Source organism: Homo sapiens, chromosome 9, assembly GCF_000001405.40.
Source record: "Homo sapiens chromosome 9, GRCh38.p14 Primary Assembly".
Classification (NCBI taxonomy): Eukaryota; Metazoa; Chordata; class Mammalia; order Primates; family Hominidae; genus Homo; species Homo sapiens.
This window is the reverse complement of record NC_000009.12, coordinates 136,673,129-136,689,023: the sequence shown is the minus strand read 5'-3', so window position 1 is coordinate 136,689,023 and position 15,895 is coordinate 136,673,129. Positions and strand designations below refer to the sequence as shown.

General features: G+C 63.1%; 1 protein-coding gene across 3 annotated transcripts, besides 9 other annotated features; it reads left to right on the top strand.

The window, feature by feature from the left end:
- Positions 841 to 920: a silencer, noted in NCBI's record as "silent region_20537". NCBI's record gives its function as "represses an Ori minimal core promoter by ATAC-STARR-seq in GM12878 lymphoblastoid cells {active_cell/tissue: GM12878}" and the evidence as "EXISTENCE:reporter gene assay evidence [ECO:0000049][PMID:35858748]".
- Positions 1,391 to 1,590: a silencer, noted in NCBI's record as "silent region_20536". NCBI's record gives its function as "represses an Ori minimal core promoter by ATAC-STARR-seq in GM12878 lymphoblastoid cells {active_cell/tissue: GM12878}" and the evidence as "EXISTENCE:reporter gene assay evidence [ECO:0000049][PMID:35858748]".
- Positions 1,567 to 15,881, top strand: AGPAT2 (1-acylglycerol-3-phosphate O-acyltransferase 2). 3 transcript variants are annotated; one of them, NM_006412.4, is made up of 6 exons: positions 1,567 to 1,848; positions 11,468 to 11,601; positions 11,888 to 12,063; positions 12,344 to 12,439; positions 14,217 to 14,289; positions 15,097 to 15,881. In NM_006412.4, exons 1-6 carry the CDS (start codon positions 1,667 to 1,669, stop codon positions 15,270 to 15,272), a joined length of 837 nt encoding a protein of 278 aa, NP_006403.2. In that variant the 5' UTR covers positions 1,567 to 1,666; the 3' UTR covers positions 15,273 to 15,881. The 3 variants fall into 3 exon arrangements, with proteins under 3 accessions (NP_006403.2, NP_001012745.1, XP_047278592.1); XM_047422636.1 differs by lacking the exon at positions 1,567 to 1,848 and adding an exon at positions 2,828 to 2,946; NM_001012727.2 differs by lacking the exon at positions 12,344 to 12,439.
- Positions 1,811 to 2,380: a silencer, noted in NCBI's record as "silent region_20535". NCBI's record gives its function as "represses an Ori minimal core promoter by ATAC-STARR-seq in GM12878 lymphoblastoid cells {active_cell/tissue: GM12878}" and the evidence as "EXISTENCE:reporter gene assay evidence [ECO:0000049][PMID:35858748]".
- Positions 1,811 to 2,962: a biological region, named in NCBI's record as "H3K27ac-H3K4me1 hESC enhancer GRCh37_chr9:139580514-139581375".
- Positions 2,101 to 2,962: an enhancer, noted in NCBI's record as "H3K27ac-H3K4me1 hESC enhancer chr9:139580514-139581375 (GRCh37/hg19 assembly coordinates)". NCBI's record gives its function as "activates a minimal SCP1, AML or CMV promoter by ChIP-STARR-seq in primed H9 embryonic stem cells {active_cell/tissue: H9 hESC(primed)}" and the evidence as "EXISTENCE:reporter gene assay evidence [ECO:0000049][PMID:30033119]".
- Positions 6,412 to 7,274: an enhancer, noted in NCBI's record as "H3K27ac-H3K4me1 hESC enhancer chr9:139576202-139577064 (GRCh37/hg19 assembly coordinates)". NCBI's record gives its function as "activates a minimal SCP1, AML or CMV promoter by ChIP-STARR-seq in primed H9 embryonic stem cells {active_cell/tissue: H9 hESC(primed)}" and the evidence as "EXISTENCE:reporter gene assay evidence [ECO:0000049][PMID:30033119]".
- Positions 8,796 to 9,495: an enhancer, noted in NCBI's record as "H3K4me1 hESC enhancer chr9:139573981-139574680 (GRCh37/hg19 assembly coordinates)". NCBI's record gives its function as "activates a minimal SCP1, AML or CMV promoter by ChIP-STARR-seq in naive H9 embryonic stem cells {active_cell/tissue: H9 hESC(naive)}" and the evidence as "EXISTENCE:reporter gene assay evidence [ECO:0000049][PMID:30033119]".
- Positions 9,496 to 10,195: an enhancer, noted in NCBI's record as "H3K4me1 hESC enhancer chr9:139573281-139573980 (GRCh37/hg19 assembly coordinates)". NCBI's record gives its function as "activates a minimal SCP1, AML or CMV promoter by ChIP-STARR-seq in naive H9 embryonic stem cells {active_cell/tissue: H9 hESC(naive)}" and the evidence as "EXISTENCE:reporter gene assay evidence [ECO:0000049][PMID:30033119]".
- Positions 13,750 to 14,249: an enhancer, noted in NCBI's record as "H3K4me1 hESC enhancer chr9:139569227-139569726 (GRCh37/hg19 assembly coordinates)". NCBI's record gives its function as "activates a minimal SCP1, AML or CMV promoter by ChIP-STARR-seq in primed H9 embryonic stem cells {active_cell/tissue: H9 hESC(primed)}" and the evidence as "EXISTENCE:reporter gene assay evidence [ECO:0000049][PMID:30033119]".

Below are 15,895 nucleotides of genomic sequence, written 5' to 3'. Positions count from 1 at the left end.
AAAGCCCCTGGACAGGCCTGATGGTTGTGAGGACTGGATTCCACAGCCAGGGTACAACCTGCTCGGGACCTGGGTGCACAGAGCCTCCAGCTGAAGGTGCTGTGAAGCCCCACTCCTCCAGGAAGTCCACCTGGGACCCCAGCCCACACCCCCGCATCCCCCAGCTCCCGGCAGCGGCACTCCTGTCTGCAGGGTGCACCCACCTCATCTGCCCTGGAAGATGAAAACCCCGCAGCCGTCAGCAGCCACCTCTCAGCCTCTCAGAGGCACAGCAGTGCAGCTCTCAGACCTCCCGGCTGCGGGGTGTGCAGTTCCGGCTCCAAGCGTGGAAAGAGGTCAAGCCAGGCCCTCCAAGCTGATTCCAGATGAAGCCCATATGGATCTGGAAGGAGACTGGGCTGGAAAATGCTCTCCTGGGTTTCGCTGTAAGATGCCTACAGGCCTAAGGCAAAAGGATGTGTCTCCACTTTCAAGAAAAGCTGGGACCGCCTGGGCAGGGGCTGCTGAGCCCAGGCAGCGAGACCCCACGTCCTTCAGGACCGCAGTTCCCCATTCATTTGAAGAGCAGTTTCTGTATTTGTCATTCTCTCAGTACAGTTTGGGGGGTGGTTACAATGTTCAGGGAAATGTTTTAACAGCTCAACTCTGCATCTGAAAAAAGAGGGGCCGTGCTCCCCTGCTGACCCGTTAGAGCGCAGGGCGGCCAGCACTCCCGCAACTGCAGCAAACCCAAGAGTCCCTATGAGGAGGGACCCCAGGAAACTGCTTTTCAATCTCCATCTGCTCCCTGAGGTGGGACGCCGGGTGGGGGCCGGGCCAGGTGACTGCTGCCCTTGTCCCAGCTGCACCTTGCCCTGCCACGCTGGCCGTGCTGCCAAGCGGATGTGAACGCCGCCACCTGACACCCACCTCGCCTGCCCCCGGAGCGTCCCTGGTGACAAGGCTACTTCTGGCACCCAGGGTGGGGCAACCCAGCCCCGCCCAGACACACGCCCCAGTTGGCCTGCGCGCCCCCACGAGTCTCCCCGCAGGGGACCGAGAACACCCTAAGAGCCAGGCTTTCTGCCAGGTGGCCACTGGTCACTCGGGGGCGGTTCCGGCGGCCCTTTGCGTGGCCACCGGCCTGGCACGGGCGCATCCCCGCTGGTTTTACGCCCTTGGGGAGCTGTGGTTCTGCGCGCGGGAGCCTGTGGCTGCCCCGGCAGCGGGGGGAGGGGGCACCGGGCGGGGCAGGAGGCCCAGACCATGGGGGGCAGCGCCAGAGCCCGAGCCACCGGCAAGCCATGATGGGGGGGTCCCCTGGGACCGGGAGGGTGGGAGCAGAGCGCCAGAGCCTCGGTAACCTGGCAGAAGGCTGTGGGGAGGGAGCGTGGAGGGGAGGTCCGGGCCGGGTGACCCAGGGCGGGAAGGGGGGGCCGTGTCGGGGCGGGGTTGGGGACAGTGGCGGGGCGGGGCCTGGTGAGGGGACCGTGTCGGGGCGTTGTTGGGGACAGTGTCGGGGCGGGGCGCCGCACCTAGCCCTTCCCTGCCGCGCGCTCCTCCCCCACGCCGCGCCCCGCCCCGCCCAGCCCCGCCGCCCTCGCAATAAGGGGCCTGAGCGCGCGGGGGAGAAGCGGGAGCGGGAGCGGGAGCGAGCTGGCGGCGCCGTCGGGCGCCGGGCCGGGCCATGGAGCTGTGGCCGTGTCTGGCCGCGGCGCTGCTGTTGCTGCTGCTGCTGGTGCAGCTGAGCCGCGCGGCCGAGTTCTACGCCAAGGTCGCCCTGTACTGCGCGCTGTGCTTCACGGTGTCCGCCGTGGCCTCGCTCGTCTGCCTGCTGCGCCACGGCGGCCGGACGGTGGAGAACATGAGGCAAGGCCGGGGGCCGCCGGGAGGGGCCGGGGAACCGCCGCGCCGCTTCCGCTTCCCTAACTTTCTTCTGGGCTTCCCTCCTTCCTGCCCCGCCCGTCCCGCCCCGCTCCGGGGCTCCGGGGAGAGCGCGCCTGGGCCGGCGGCAGGCACAGGAGGGGGTCCCGGAGTCAGGGGGTCCCGGAGTCACGGGGTCAAGGAGCCGGCGTCACAGTGCCCAGCACCCCACCCCCCGCCCTGGCCCCGGGCGTCTACACCGGTTTCGGCCTCCGCCGCGTCCCTGCAGCCCGGCGTGGGGTTCCGGGGGTGGAGCAGCTTTCGGAGAGAAAGGGGGCCGGTCCGCGCTGGGAGAGGCTCAGCCCTGCTTCCTGAGCGGGGAAACCGAGGCCGGGGCGGCGGGGACTTGCCCCAGGGCTATTGATCAGGGCGCACGACGGCGTGGGGGCACCCCTCGGCCTCCCTCCGACCCCCTCCTGACTGTCCGCCCGGTGATGGGCGCACCTGTGGGGCGGGTTCCCCTTTCTCTCCCTTTCCTCTTCGCAGGGAGGTGGGGGACCCGGAGGGGACCTGCTTCCGTGCTGGGGAGCGCGCCCCTGGCCTACAGCTCCGGGGGCCCAGCTTCCAAGCGAAGGGAAGGAAGAGTTAGGACTAGGGTTCGGCGGGGCTGAAATTTTCCCCTGGACGCCTTCCAGAAGGTGGGAGCTTGGTTTTGCCAGGCTGGGGTTGGGGGCCAGAGGTCAGACTGGGCTGCCAAAGACGGCGGGGGCTGCCTGCTCCTGGGCGGGGTGGCTGCTGGAGAAGGCTCTTGCCTGCCCCCTCTCCCTGTTAGCCGTCCCCAGGCTGTTGCTACATTTCTCCCTGCCCTGTTTGGACTGCCCAGCCAGTGGCTTTTGCAATGGCCTGGGGTGGGGGCATTGTGGCCCCAGAGGCCCCCTTCCCCGTGGTTCCAGGGGCAGTGGGTGAGGGTTTGCTAGCTCCCTGCACTCGCTGTCCTTGCCAGCCCTGGGAGGGCACTGAGGCTGCTGGAACGGGCCTACAGTCATGGCTTCCAACGGAGCCCCAGAAGCTCCAGGAATATGAAGGAGGACCCTGGGCCTGATGGTGAGCATGGAGAGTCCGAGAAGGGCCTGCTGGCTGCTCAGCCAGACGTGTGTGACCAGTGGTGATGTGGGCCAGGTGGCCCAGGCCGGGGTCCCGGGGAGCGCACACTCCAGGGCTGGCCCAGGTGGTGACTGGCGCTGACGTCCCCAGTGGAGCACCCTTCAGCGAGGAAGGCAGTTTGCAGAAACAGGGAGTTCCTGGGGGCTGGGCTCTGGGCACCTGTGCTGGAATCTGTGAAGGCCTCACCTGTGGTTCTGGCCCTGGGATCCCCTGTAGGCAGGGGTCTCTGTGAGGGGCCCCCCTCAGCCCCTGGGGTGCTTCAGAGTAGGGGCGAGGGTGCGGCTTTCCCAGCTGAGGAGGGGCCAGTCTGTGGGTTCCTTGGGGTGCCCCCCACCCCGAGGAAATGGCTTGTGTGGTTCTGATGCCTGCAGGGCATCCTGTGCTGGGCGTGTCCTGGGGTGTGGACAGGGGACGGGGTCCTGTTCTTTTGGCAGAAATGATGGGGCACCTGACTTAGGAGACCCTGGAGCAGACCCCACTACTGAGCCAGGCCACAGGCCACGGGCCTCTTCATCGGCGGCCTCCTCGTGTGAGAAAGCCTGGCTTGTTCTGCAGGGGCCTCTGCCTGGACTTCCTAGCTGTTTTCCAGGGACCAAATCACAGTTCACCTGCTGCCCTTTCTATGGACCTGGCAGGCTGGGTTGGCTGGCACTGGCCCTGCTGCCCCACTGGGCCCTGTCCCCATCTCAGCTTGGAGATTCTGGCTAACCTGGGTGTCCTCGGGACCTGGGGCCTCTGATGGTGCTTGGATGGGACCCTCCTGCCGCCCTCACCTCTCCAGGGCAGCACCCAGGCTCAGGCCTGTGGAGTAGTGGCTTCCGGGACACTGGCTACTAACAGCAGGTGCTTTGTTCCTGCTTTGGTCCCTGAAGAGAAGGGAGGGCCAGAGGGCAGGGCAGTCTGGAGGAGAGGCCTGGGGCTCCATGGCTACCTTCCCCCACACCTCTGCACGTGCTCCCCAGGCCCCAGGGTCCCTGATGACTTCCAAGACTCCCAGCAATGGCTAAGAGTGGGGCTGTTGCGAACGTGCGTTCCCTCCGTGGGGGCCGTCGGGAGGGGTGAGAAAGGCAGATGAAGAGCAGGCGCTTTGTCACTCCAGGGAAGGGACCCGGGGGGCTGGAAGGGAAGGAGGGGATACTCGGCCTCTGTTCCTGCTGTACGCCACGGGTGCCTCCAGCCTCAGGAACAGGGATTCGCGTGTGCTCTGTGTTACAAATAAGGACACTGAGGCTGAGATAAGCAACTTGAAACTGGGGCAGGGTCCCCAAGCCAGGATGGGGTGGAACTGGGGTTCGAACCCACTGACAGTGACTCCAGAGTACCTGCTTTTCCCTTTCCCCTTGTTCCCAGCCCAGCGCTTGGGGCTGGTGAGGCAGCCCTGCGGCAGGCCTGAGCTCTGGGAGGGGCGCTCCATCTTGCCCCTGAGCAATGGCTGCCCTGGCTGAGGCCCAGCCCCTCCCCACGGGGTTCCAGGCGGCACCCAAGAGACCCCCACCGTCTACACCGTAGTTCTGAGCGTGTGAGGGACAGTGATGGGACTAGAACCTCTGAGGCAGCCTTCGTTCCCACCGGGCTTGGGGCTGAGACCACGGACCCCTTCCAGGCAGGGGGTGTCCCCTGAGCCCTTCCCTGTGTGCGCAGTTACGGTGGAGCTGCAGGGGACGTTTCCTCACCAGGGGCCGATGCCCTGGTACATCCATTCGACAGAGGAAAGCAAAGCCCAGAGCGGCTCCGTGTCCTACAGCTGGGTTCAGCTACAGGATCAGAAAACCCTCAAGACAGCAGCTTAATCCACAGAGAAGTTTACTTTTTCATACAGCAAAGGAGACCAGATGGGCAGCCTAGGGAAACAGCAGTTAGTTTCCGGCTCCTTTGACCTCTATTCCCACCATTTTCAGGGTCCCAGACAGAAAAGGGGTGCTCTTCCTCTTAAGGATGCTCCCCGAATTGAACCCCACGCTCTGCTGGTATCTGGAGGCCGGGACCTAGTGGTTGTGGCAGCTCCTGGCTGCAGGGCAGGCTCCTGTCCCCATGGAGCACGTGCCCACACCACACGCCCAGTGTGGGGAGAACGCACAGGGGACTTGGGATGTCGGGCAAGGTTTGACCCAGATTTGCCGGCCAGTGCATGGTCCCGGGTCCTCTGACAGATGTCCGGTGATGACAGATGCCATCGGGGGCCCTGTGTCACCACAGCACTGGGGTCTTAGTCCCAAGGGAGACCGTGACCTTGGTCCTCCAGAGCGCTCCAGGTGTCTCTGTGCAGGCCCAGAAATTGGAGCTGTCCTGACTGAGGGATGGGAGGGCTTCTCTGGCCCCACCTCCTTCCCGCCCGCCACACCTGCACTCCTACACATCCGCTTTGAGGAGTCACGGGGACCCCCCACATCCGGGTGTTTGTGTGGGCTGGACCCCGCACCCCTATGGACCCATCCCGCCTTGTGCTGCAGCTTGGATGACACTTGTCGGAAAACACCAGATTCCTCACTGGGGTCCCTGTCCCCGGTGGCCCCAGCGAGCCCCAGCAGAGGGGGAGGGGGCTGCCCTGAATGAGCTCACGCAGCTGAAGATGGGCAAGTCCTGGCTCAGAGAGCTGCTGGGTCTCCTGGGAGTGTCCCAGCCCAGGACCAAGGCAAGGGTCAGCGAGTGGCCTTCCACGAGGACAGCCTGGCCAGTGGCCTGGGCCCTGACCTAGAACCGCCTCCCAGCTGCCTGAGCCAGGTGCTGGTGGGATTGGGGGCTTAGGCACATTGAGGGGCCTTTTGCTTCGATTTACTTTGGACTTTTTTTTTTATTTTTTGAGACAAGGTCTCGCTCTGTTGCCCAGGTTGGTCTTAAACCCCTGAGCTCAAGTGATCCGTCTGCCTCAGCCTCCCAAAGTGCTGGGGTCACAGGCATGAGCCACCGTGCCCGGCCCCACCCATTTTGGATTCTTCCCCCCCTCCCCCCCACCCCCTAGTCATCCCCATCACAGCCACTGTTGGTGGAGGTCCTGCCCTGGCCCGATGGTGCCCCGGGTGTCTCCGCCTCATAGAATGTAAGCCTGCACACCCTTCCACAAGAGCCTGGGAGGTCAAATGCTTTGCCCGAGGCCATAGCTGGGAAGAAGGGAAATGGGATCCAAATCCCCGTCAGGCCCAGAGCCTGAGTGTGGGAGCAGCCCAGGTGCCTGGGGGCTGAGCTCAGGCGGTCTGAGGAGGCTGGGTTCCTGCAGACCCCAGAGGGGTCTCTTACGGGGCTTCGCTCGAGGCCAGTGGACTCCAGTCTGAGGGCTCCTGAAAAAGACTGAGGCAGCACCTGGGCTTTCCCTCAGCAGGAGCCCACTGCTCCGATGCCACCAGAAGGGCCCAGTCTGGGCTCAGCCTCACTTAGTTTTGGGTGCTGGGCTGCTCCCTGGGCCTCCTGCCTTGCTGGGCAAAGCTGGCACAAGTCACCCGCCTGGCAGTGGCCAGCAGGGCTCCCTGAGCTCCAGGCTTCCGGCAACCTTGGCTTTGCCCCTGCTCCCCGGGGAGGCAAGGAGTCCAGGACCTGGATTTGGGGTCCGTGTGACTGTGTCCTGGTCTGGCACAGCGACACCTGCCCCAGGCTTTGAGGAAAGGACAGGGCAGCCCCTCGTCCGCCTGTGGTTGGTGGGAGGGGAGTTTGAGTGAGGCAGGGTGTTTGGCACAGGACAGGGACTGGGCTGGGCAAGCTGGTGGGGGAAGCCTGGGGACAGTGGCTGCTCTGAGCTTCCTGCTGGGGGAGGCCGGAGCAAGCTCCCAGCCCTGCTGAGGGGTTGAGGGGACTGCGGAGCCCGGGGGAGGGAGGGAGCCTCAGGATGAGCTCCTAGAGTCCTACTGGGGGCCCGCGCCGCCCCAGCACGACTCTGCCAGCTCCGAAGCAGGGTTCCGAGGGGGGCTCAGGCCTGTTCTGGCTTCCCTGCTGTGTGGCCTTGGGGAAGTCACTTAACTTTGCTGAACCTTGAACCTCGCATTCCTCATCTGAAGAGGGGGGTTATGATCGTACCTACCCTGGGGGGTTACTGTCAGAACAAAAGGAGGTGACTCATGTAGAGCCCTTGTCTCGAGGCTTTGCACACAGGAGGTGCAGGGGGCCTCTGTGCTTAGAAGGCGATTTTTCTCTGCTTGGGTTCCCGGGGGTGTCCTCGGCCGCAGGAGCCTCTGCAGGGCTTAGTTCAGTCCCTTCCTCTCTGAGGAAACACTTTTTTTGTGTGTGTGAGATGAAGTCTTGCTCTGTCACCCAGGCTGGAGTACAATGGCACCATCTCGGCTCAACGCAACCTCCTCCTCCCTGGTTCGGGTGATTCTCCCGCCTCAGCCTCCCGAGTAGCTGGGATTACAGGCAGCTGCCACCACGTCTGGCTGATTTTTGTATTGTTAATAGAGACGGGATTTCACCATGGTGGCCAGGCTGGTCTTGAACTCCTGACCTCAGGTGATCTGCCCGCCTTGGCCTCCCAAAGTCCTGGGATTACAGGCGTGAGCCACCCGCCCATCCAGGAACCGCTTGTAAAGTGAGTCTAGACTTTCCCACCAGCTTTCAGAAAGCTCTGAACTATGTACGGGACACCGCGGGGGAAGTGCGGTGGCCTCACGTGGCTGGTGCAGATGGCCCTTTGTCCCCTTGAGGACATCAACTTCAACTTTCTTCCACCCCCAGGGTATACCTTTCTCCCCCAGCCACACTGTGGGCTGCAGAGTTCTAGAGAGCCACAGCCTCCCGCTGGCCTGGGGCAGCCTCCGTCCGTCCATCTGTCTGGCCTGAGGACCAGGGGCCGGTGGTGGGCGGCGGGACACAGCGCCTGCTCAGCACCGCCTGCTGGGCGGGGGTTTGTACCCCGTGTCTTTCACAGCTGAGAGAAGTATCAGTGCACGATCCAACCCCTAAGCAGCTTAGATTAAAAAAAAAAAAAAAAGGAAAAGTTTTGGAGCTAGAGGGTGGTGCTGGCCACACGGCAGTGAATGCGCCGAGTGCCACGGAACCGTGTGCTGAGAAATGGGTACAATTATATTGTTTAGGTGGTGCGTGTTATACCACAATCAAAACAGAGGAGGGCTCGGCGCGCTGGCTCCTTCCTGTCATCCCAGCACTTTGGGAGGCCGAGGCGGGCGGATCATGAGGTCAGGAGTTTGAGACCAGCCTGGCCGACATGGTGAAACCCCGTCTCTACTAAAAATACAAAAATTAGCCGGGTGTGGTGGCGCACACCAGTAGTCCCAACTACTTGCTAGGCTGAGGCAGGAGAATCGCTTGCCGGGAGGTGGAAATGGCAGTGAGCTGAGATCTCGCCACTGCACTCCAGCCTAGGTGACAGCAAGACTCCGTCTCAAAAAAAATAAAAAATAAATGAAGATCTTATTTTTTAATAATTTCAGATTTACAGAGAAGTTGCAAAGATATTACGGGGGACCCCATGTGGCCCTCACCAGTTTCCTCCCTTGTTAACATCTTACATCACCAAGATGCAGTTGTTAACACTAAGAAACTAGCTGGCCGGGCGCGGTGGCTCACACCTGTAATCCCAGCACTTTGGGAGGCCGAGGTGGGAGGATCACCTGAGGTCAGGAGTTCGAGACCAGCCTGGCCAACATGGTGAAACCCCGTCTCTACTAAAAATACAAAAACTAGCCAGGCCTGGTGGCAGGCACCTGTAATCCCAGCTACTCAGGAGGCTGAGGCAGGAGAATTGCTTGAACCCGGGAGGCAGAGGTTGCAGTGAGCTGAGATCACACCACTGCACTCCAGTCTGGGTGACAGAGTGAGACCCTGTCTCAAAAATAAAAAAGTAAATAAAAGATGGAACTGGCCAATGTCACTACCAGAGGGAACCAATGTCCCTTTCAGATGTGGCCCGAGCCTCCTGCAGGCAGCTAGCTTTGGAATTGCAGGTGTGTCTTGGCTGCTGCTAGAAATCATACACATGTCCTTCACAGGAGATGAGTGTGGACCTGTCCTGTTCTTTCCCCGCGCCCCAGCTGTCTGTGAAATGGACCCTAATTTACTTTCCCTCTTTCTACTGGTGGCTATTTAAGCATTTTCAGGTTTTCCTAATTCACTGCACACTTCAGCACCACAGGCTTCTCACTCCAGCCGTCGGGCGAATTCCTGGAAGATTCTGAGAGGGGAGGGGCCAGGTTTCCTCAGGGCTCTGGCCGGGCCTGCCAACCTGCCCTCCACAGAAGTATCTTGTCTGTGCGACTCCTCACTCCTGCCAGCCGCTGGGCCTGTTCCCAACACCCTGGCTGGCACCTCCTGTTATCAGGCGTTTTAATCTGTGCCAGGGGGAAGGATGAGGACAGTCTCTTGTTTCCATTTGCGCTTCTTTGATTGGCGACACGGCCGTCTTGCTAGCACCAGACAGTTCTGTGTTTCCTGTTGGTGAACTGCCGGCTTTTGCCTCCTCGTCTTCTTGGAGCGTCACAGGGGTCCGGGAAGCTGGATTGCGCAAATGAGTGTGGAGGCAAAACAGCCCTGCAGTTCCCCTGAGTGTGCGGGTGCTACCAGCCCGGGTGTGCCTTCTGGGTGGGAGGGGACGGTGGCCGGCGCGGCCTGGAGAGGAGATATCTAGAGTTGGCTGAGGAAGGCAGATCTGAGGAGGCCCCAGGCTTCCAAGTCCAGGGACGGACGGCTGGACTCATCACCAGAATTAACCATTAGGCCCCCCTTGACTCAGTTTCCCCATCTGCAACAGGGGGTCATGAGCATTGCCCCATCAGCCTGAGGTGGTGCTGCCGCAGGCCTGGGCTCACACATGGAAGGGCAGAGTGCCAGGGCTGGGGAGGGGACAGGGGTTTGTGTCGCATGGGAACAGACGTCAGCCAGAGAAGGTGGAGAGTTCTGGAGATAGAGGGAGGAGATGGCTGCTAGACACCGAATGTGCCCAGCGCCCATGAACTGTGCACCCGGAAAAGGCCAAGGAGATACATTTTATGTTACGTGTATTTTACCACAATTTTTTTTTAAAGGCCGGGCGAGTTGGCTCAGGCCTGTAAGCCCAGCACTTTGGGAGGCCGAGGTCGGCAGGTTGTTTGAGCCTAGGAGTTCGAGACCAGCCTGGCCAGAGATGGTGAAAGCCCATCTGTACCAAAAATACAAAAACTAGCGAGGTGTGGTGGCTCACGTCTGTGGTCCCAGCTAGTCAGGAGCCTGAGGTGGGAGGAGCCCAGGAGGTGGAGGCTGGAGTGAGCCCAGATTGTGACACTGCACAATGTGACACATTGTGTCACAGAGCAAGACAGAGCAAGGGGAGCCTGGGTGACAGAGCAAGACCCTGTTAAAACAACAAAAATCCCCACCAGTATGGCTTTGAGAGAAGGCCCCGGCTTTGAATCTCTGCTCTGTGGCCTGGGGCAGTTACTCAGACTCATCTGTAGAAAGTGTGGGGCCCTTAGGACTGCTGGGGGATCAAATGGTGGGGGGCACTAGTCTGCATGGAGAGGGGAGCAGCACTGGCAGCCCCCCAGTCAGCGCTGGCACAGCCTTGCCCCGGCCATCCACCCCTGCTGGAGCTTCGGAGTGGAGCTCCGTCCTCCTGGCTCCATCCCCGCCGGCTGCCCTGTGATGGGGTGCCCTATCTGGGGTGTGCCCAGAGCTTCCTGGCAGCACAGCAGGGCAGAGGTTGGGACGCTCGGAGCTGGTCAGAGTCTTCGGGTACCCCTTGGACATCCCTGGTCCCAACCATGACGGGCTGCTTGGACAAGGCCACCTCACATTTGCAGGTGCTCCAAGGGCAGCCCCCAGTGGGCTGGGCCCCTGCCAGAGTGGGGGCTGCTGTGGCCAGGGCTCAGGTGGCCCAGACCCTGGCTCTGCTGCTGCTCCTGGTGTGACCTCAGACAAGCCCCGAGCCCCTCGCCGCCTCTTCACGGGGAAAGGGAACCGGCCTGATTCTGTAGGGTAGGGGTGAGAGAGGGTCTCGGTCTCGGCTCTTTTCTGGAAGAACCTTTCGGAGGTCGTTTCAGAGGTCTCCACTGGCGCCGACACTTTCTTCCTGATGTGGCCCTGCCTTGAGGGGCCAGTGACCTTCCCCAGGGTGTGTGGGGCCCCATTTCCTCTGCTGGGGTGCAGAGGCTGCTCTCCCCGACGTGGGTCCTTCATAGCGGACGTGAGAGCCAGTGCCAGTTCCTTTCCGGCTGGGTCCCCTGTGGGGTGGATGAGGGCTGGGTGGGCCCTGGATGTGGATTTGGAAGTGGGCGCCTTCCCATGCTCCTAGCATCCGAGTTCCAGAGGCTCTGGGTTTTCCTCTGTTGCTGGGGAGACGGAGGCAGGGCAGCCGTCCAGGTGGGTGAGCCGGGCCCGGGACTCTGTCCGCTTCAGGGGCTCCCTCCCCTGTGTCTCCCGGTCTCCTGCCCCGTGCCAGGAGGGCCCCTCCCCAGCCTCCTCCACACCCCACCCCCAGGCCTTCGCGCCCCAGCCTCGGCTGCGGGATCTGTGGGACCCGTGTTCATGGTGGCCTCCCCTGCAGCATCATCGGCTGGTTCGTGCGAAGCTTCAAGTACTTTTACGGGCTCCGCTTCGAGGTGCGGGACCCGCGCAGGCTGCAGGAGGCCCGTCCCTGTGTCATCGTCTCCAACCACCAGAGCATCCTGGACATGATGGGTAGGCCGGGCCTCGGGGGTGGCTTCTGGGGTTTGAGTGGGGCCGGCTGAGCTGGGGCTGTGTGGGGCTGGGTCCCGGGGACGAGGACACAGGGCTGCCTGTGCCTGGGCGAGCTCGGCCTCAGTACCTCCCTCAGGGCCAGACACAGAGGCTCGGAGGCCACACGACCCGTCCAGGTAGCCAGGGAGAAGGCAGGGTGCCAGGCAGGCCTGTGGGTGCTCAGCAGCTGTCTTCCAGCGCACGCTGTCTCCCCCTCTCTCTCTGTCTCTGTCTCTCTGTCTCCCAGGCCTCATGGAGGTCCTTCCGGAGCGCTGCGTGCAGATCGCCAAGCGGGAGCTGCTCTTCCTGGGGCCCGTGGGCCTCATCATGTACCTCGGGGGCGTCTTCTTCATCAACCGGCAGCGCTCTAGCACTGCCATGACAGTGATGGCCGACCTGGGCGAGCGCATGGTCAGGGAGAACGTGAGTGTGCAGGGCCGGGCTCGGTGGGGTTGGGGTGGGGCCTGGGCGGGGCCAGGCAGGGGCCAGCTTGTGACTTGGTTTTGGCAGAAAAAACAAGACCCCCACATCATCCATGCTCCGCAGGTGGGGTCCCACGCCAGACCCCTACATCATCCATGCTCCGCAGATGGGGTCCCATGCCAGCTGCTTTGCGAAGTGGGGCTTCTTAGGAGGCGAGGCGGCGTGGCCTTTCTGGGGTGGCCTGGGCGTGAGGTCAGTCCAGGCTCTCCTCTCCCTGCAGCTCAAAGTGTGGATCTATCCCGAGGGTACTCGCAACGACAATGGGGACCTGCTGCCTTTTAAGAAGGGCGCCTTCTACCTGGCAGTCCAGGCACAGGTAGGCTGAGCCCAGCCCTCCCTGGGTGGGTGCAGGCTGGGGAGGCGGGGTCAGGCTGGCTTAAGGCAGCAGGTGACCACCAGCCGAGCTGAGGACCCTTGACACACAAGGGACTCCTCCCACTGAGTTGGGGACAGGGCCTCCTTGCCCCTTCCTGCACTTGCCCCCTGACCGACCAGGGAGGGCAGCCCCTTGGGCCTTTTGCCCACACAGAGCCCAGAGTGACCAGCTGCCCTTGGTGGGCACCCAGTGCTTGGCCTGCGAGGCTGGGCAGGTAGAGGGGTGGGGAGCCGGGCCGCTCGCCTCTGCTGCAGAGCTCTCAGGAGGCTCATTTCTGGGCCTGTGCCTGGCTGGGGTGGGCTTCAGGGCATGGGCAGTGGGTCTGGACAAGCCAGGCTTTTGGTGTAGTATCAGGCCAGACCAGAGCTCAGGGTGGGTGGAGCTCATTGTAAGCAGCGCCTCCAGACTCTGGACTTCCTGGTCCCCAGCCTCCAGGGGTGCAGTGCATCCTAGGGTGTCTGGGAGAGGCCAGGGTATAGCCATTCCCCCAGCACCTGTCCTGCCTCTGCCGCTGTGCTGGGAAGAGTTGCGTCAGGAGAAGGAGCTTTTACCCATCTGGGTGGGGTCTCGCTCAGGGCAGGGGTCTCAGCTCCTTCCCTCACACTGGCCACTAGTGGCCCCCAGTGCCTGGCCCTGTGCAAGGTGGTGGGGAGGGGGCCCTCCTTCCAGAGGCTCCCAGCTAAGGCCGTGAGGCCTGGGGAGCCCCGGAGGCGCTGGGCTGGGTGAGCATCCTTGGGCTCTGATCCCAGCCCTGCCCAGGTGCGGGGCACACCTGCCCAGCCTGGGGCTGATGTCACTTCCCTTTGGGGGCAGAGTGAGGGCTGGATCAGCTCTGGGAGAGCAGAGGGGAGACGGGCGGCTGTGATGGGGTGGCTGGGGGTGGCCGCAGTGCAGCTTCAGCCAGGAGACCCACAGCTTTTCCGTCCCTGCTCCCGGTCCCCAGCCTACCTGCTGGCCCCCTCCCTCCCTGCTGCCAGTCCCCAGCCTACCTGCTGGCCCCCTCCCTCCCTGCTCCCAGTCCCCAGCCTACCTGCTGGCCTCCTCCCTCCCTGCTGCCAGTCCCCAGCCTACCTGCTGGCCTCCTCCCTTCCTGCTGCCAGTCCCCAGCCTACCTGCTGGCCCCCTCCCTCCCTGCTCCCAGTCCCCAGCCTACCTGCTGGCCCCCTCCCTTCCTGCTGCCAGTCCCCAGCCTACCTGCTGGCCCCCTGGAGGTTCCCTGGCTGCCTCGGGTTAATGATCACCCCCAAGTGCCCTTGGATTTGACCCCGGTGACTTCCAGGAACACCAGCAGGCTCCACCCCTCCCCCGGGCTAGGGCTGCCTCCCTCACTGGCTTCCTGAGATGGAGAGGACTGGGAGAGAGGCGTGGGCAGGGAAGAGTGCCATAATCTCCTCCTAAACCGGACAGGGCCCTGCCCCCCTGGCTAGCTGCAGACCCAATATGGGGACAGGTGTGAACCAGGCAAACACGTGCTAGCTCAGGAGGGCTTCCTAGAGGAGATGAGTAAAAATTTGCAGGATGAGCTTATGGAACTCTGGGCCAACCAGAGCAGGACACATATCCCAGGTCCCAGGGGCAGGACAGCCACAAGGACCCATGGCAGCAGCGAAGGCAGGGGTGGGTGGGCCGCAGGACAGGGCTCCCCAACCACATGCAGCCTGGGGTGTGCCTGGCCTGTCCCCAGGGCTGCCTCAGCTGTGCGTCTCCCTGCCTGCAGGTGCCCATCGTCCCCGTGGTGTACTCTTCCTTCTCCTCCTTCTACAACACCAAGAAGAAGTTCTTCACTTCAGGTACCCCCACATGTGTGCACCCGGGGTGTAGGCCCCGCCTGACCCTACAGTCACGGAGCCCCGGGCCCCTCATCGTTCCCATTTCCGGGTGGCACCCGTGGCGTGGCCACACGGTGACCATGTGGCGAATGAGTGACTCAGGCTGGAGTCCCAGCTGTGGGCTTCATGGCCTCATGGCCCTGTGAGATGGGTGGTGCTGGGCCCATTTTTCAGATGAGAAAACTGAGGCTCCAAGAGACTTCACACGGATGGACCCCAGCTGTGCACACAGCTTGGGGGCCTGGAGGGCGGCCTCTGAGCCCATGTGTCCAGGCTGATGCCCGCATAGGGTAGATGGAACCCAGGCAGCCCAGGGGCACAGGCTGCGGGGCTCATGACCTCTTGCCCCTTCCAGCCAGTTCCCAGAACGTGGGCACCTGGTGCCCAGGCAGGACAGTGGGGTCAAAGTTGGAGAGCAGTGGGGGAACCCAGCTCCATCTCTCCCACAGCCCCTCGCCCCGTATGGAGGGCAGAGGCCAGGCAGTGAGGTAGGGGCTGATCAGGAAGTGGGGCTTTCTGGGGGCAGTAACAGGGGAGCGCAGACTTGTCGAAAATGCGGCGTGAAGGCCAGGCAGCCATGGGGTTTACTGCAGCAACGTTACTGCAATTAAAATAACCCACCACGGCTAGGGAGTCCAGGGGAAGAGCCCGGCCTCGGGCTTCCCAGGGAGGGGCTGTGGGGGGCTGGGGAGAGGCGAGGCCAGGGCAGCAGGCTGAGGTGGGCCCCAGCTCCCCACAGGCCACTGAGGTCTGTTGCTTCCCCCACAGGAACAGTCACAGTGCAGGTGCTGGAAGCCATCCCCACCAGCGGCCTCACTGCGGCGGACGTCCCTGCGCTCGTGGACACCTGCCACCGGGCCATGAGGACCACCTTCCTCCACATCTCCAAGACCCCCCAGGAGAACGGGGCCACTGCGGGGTCTGGCGTGCAGCCGGCCCAGTAGCCCAGACCACGGCAGGGCATGACCTGGGGAGGGCAGGTGGAAGCCGATGGCTGGAGGATGGGCAGAGGGGACTCCTCCCGGCTTCCAAATACCACTCTGTCCGGCTCCCCCAGCTCTCACTCAGCCCGGGAAGCAGGAAGCCCCTTCTGTCACTGGCCTCAGACACAGGCCCCTGGTGTCCCCTGCAGGGGGCTCAGCTGGACCCTCCCCGGGCTCGAGGGCAGGGACTCGCGCCCACGGCACCTCTGGGAGCTGGGATGATAAAGATGAGGCTTGCGGCTGTGGCCCGCTGGTGGGCTGAGCCACAAGGCCCCCGATGGCCCAGGAGCAGATGGGAGGACCCCGAGGCCAGACGCACACTGTCCGAGCCCTCTGCTCAGCCGCCTGGGACCCACCAGGGTGCAGCTGGGCTCCAGGGTCCAGCCCACAAGCTGCATCAGGCTCTCTGGGAGAGGAGGGGCCTGGAGGGCCAGGAGTCCCAGACTCACGCACCCTGGGCCACAGGGAGCCGGGAATCGGGGCCTGCTGCTCCTGCTGGCCTGGAAGACTCTGTGGGGTCAGCACTGTACTCCGTTGCTGTTTTTTTATAAACACACTCTTGGAAGTGGCTGGGGAGCTGTGGT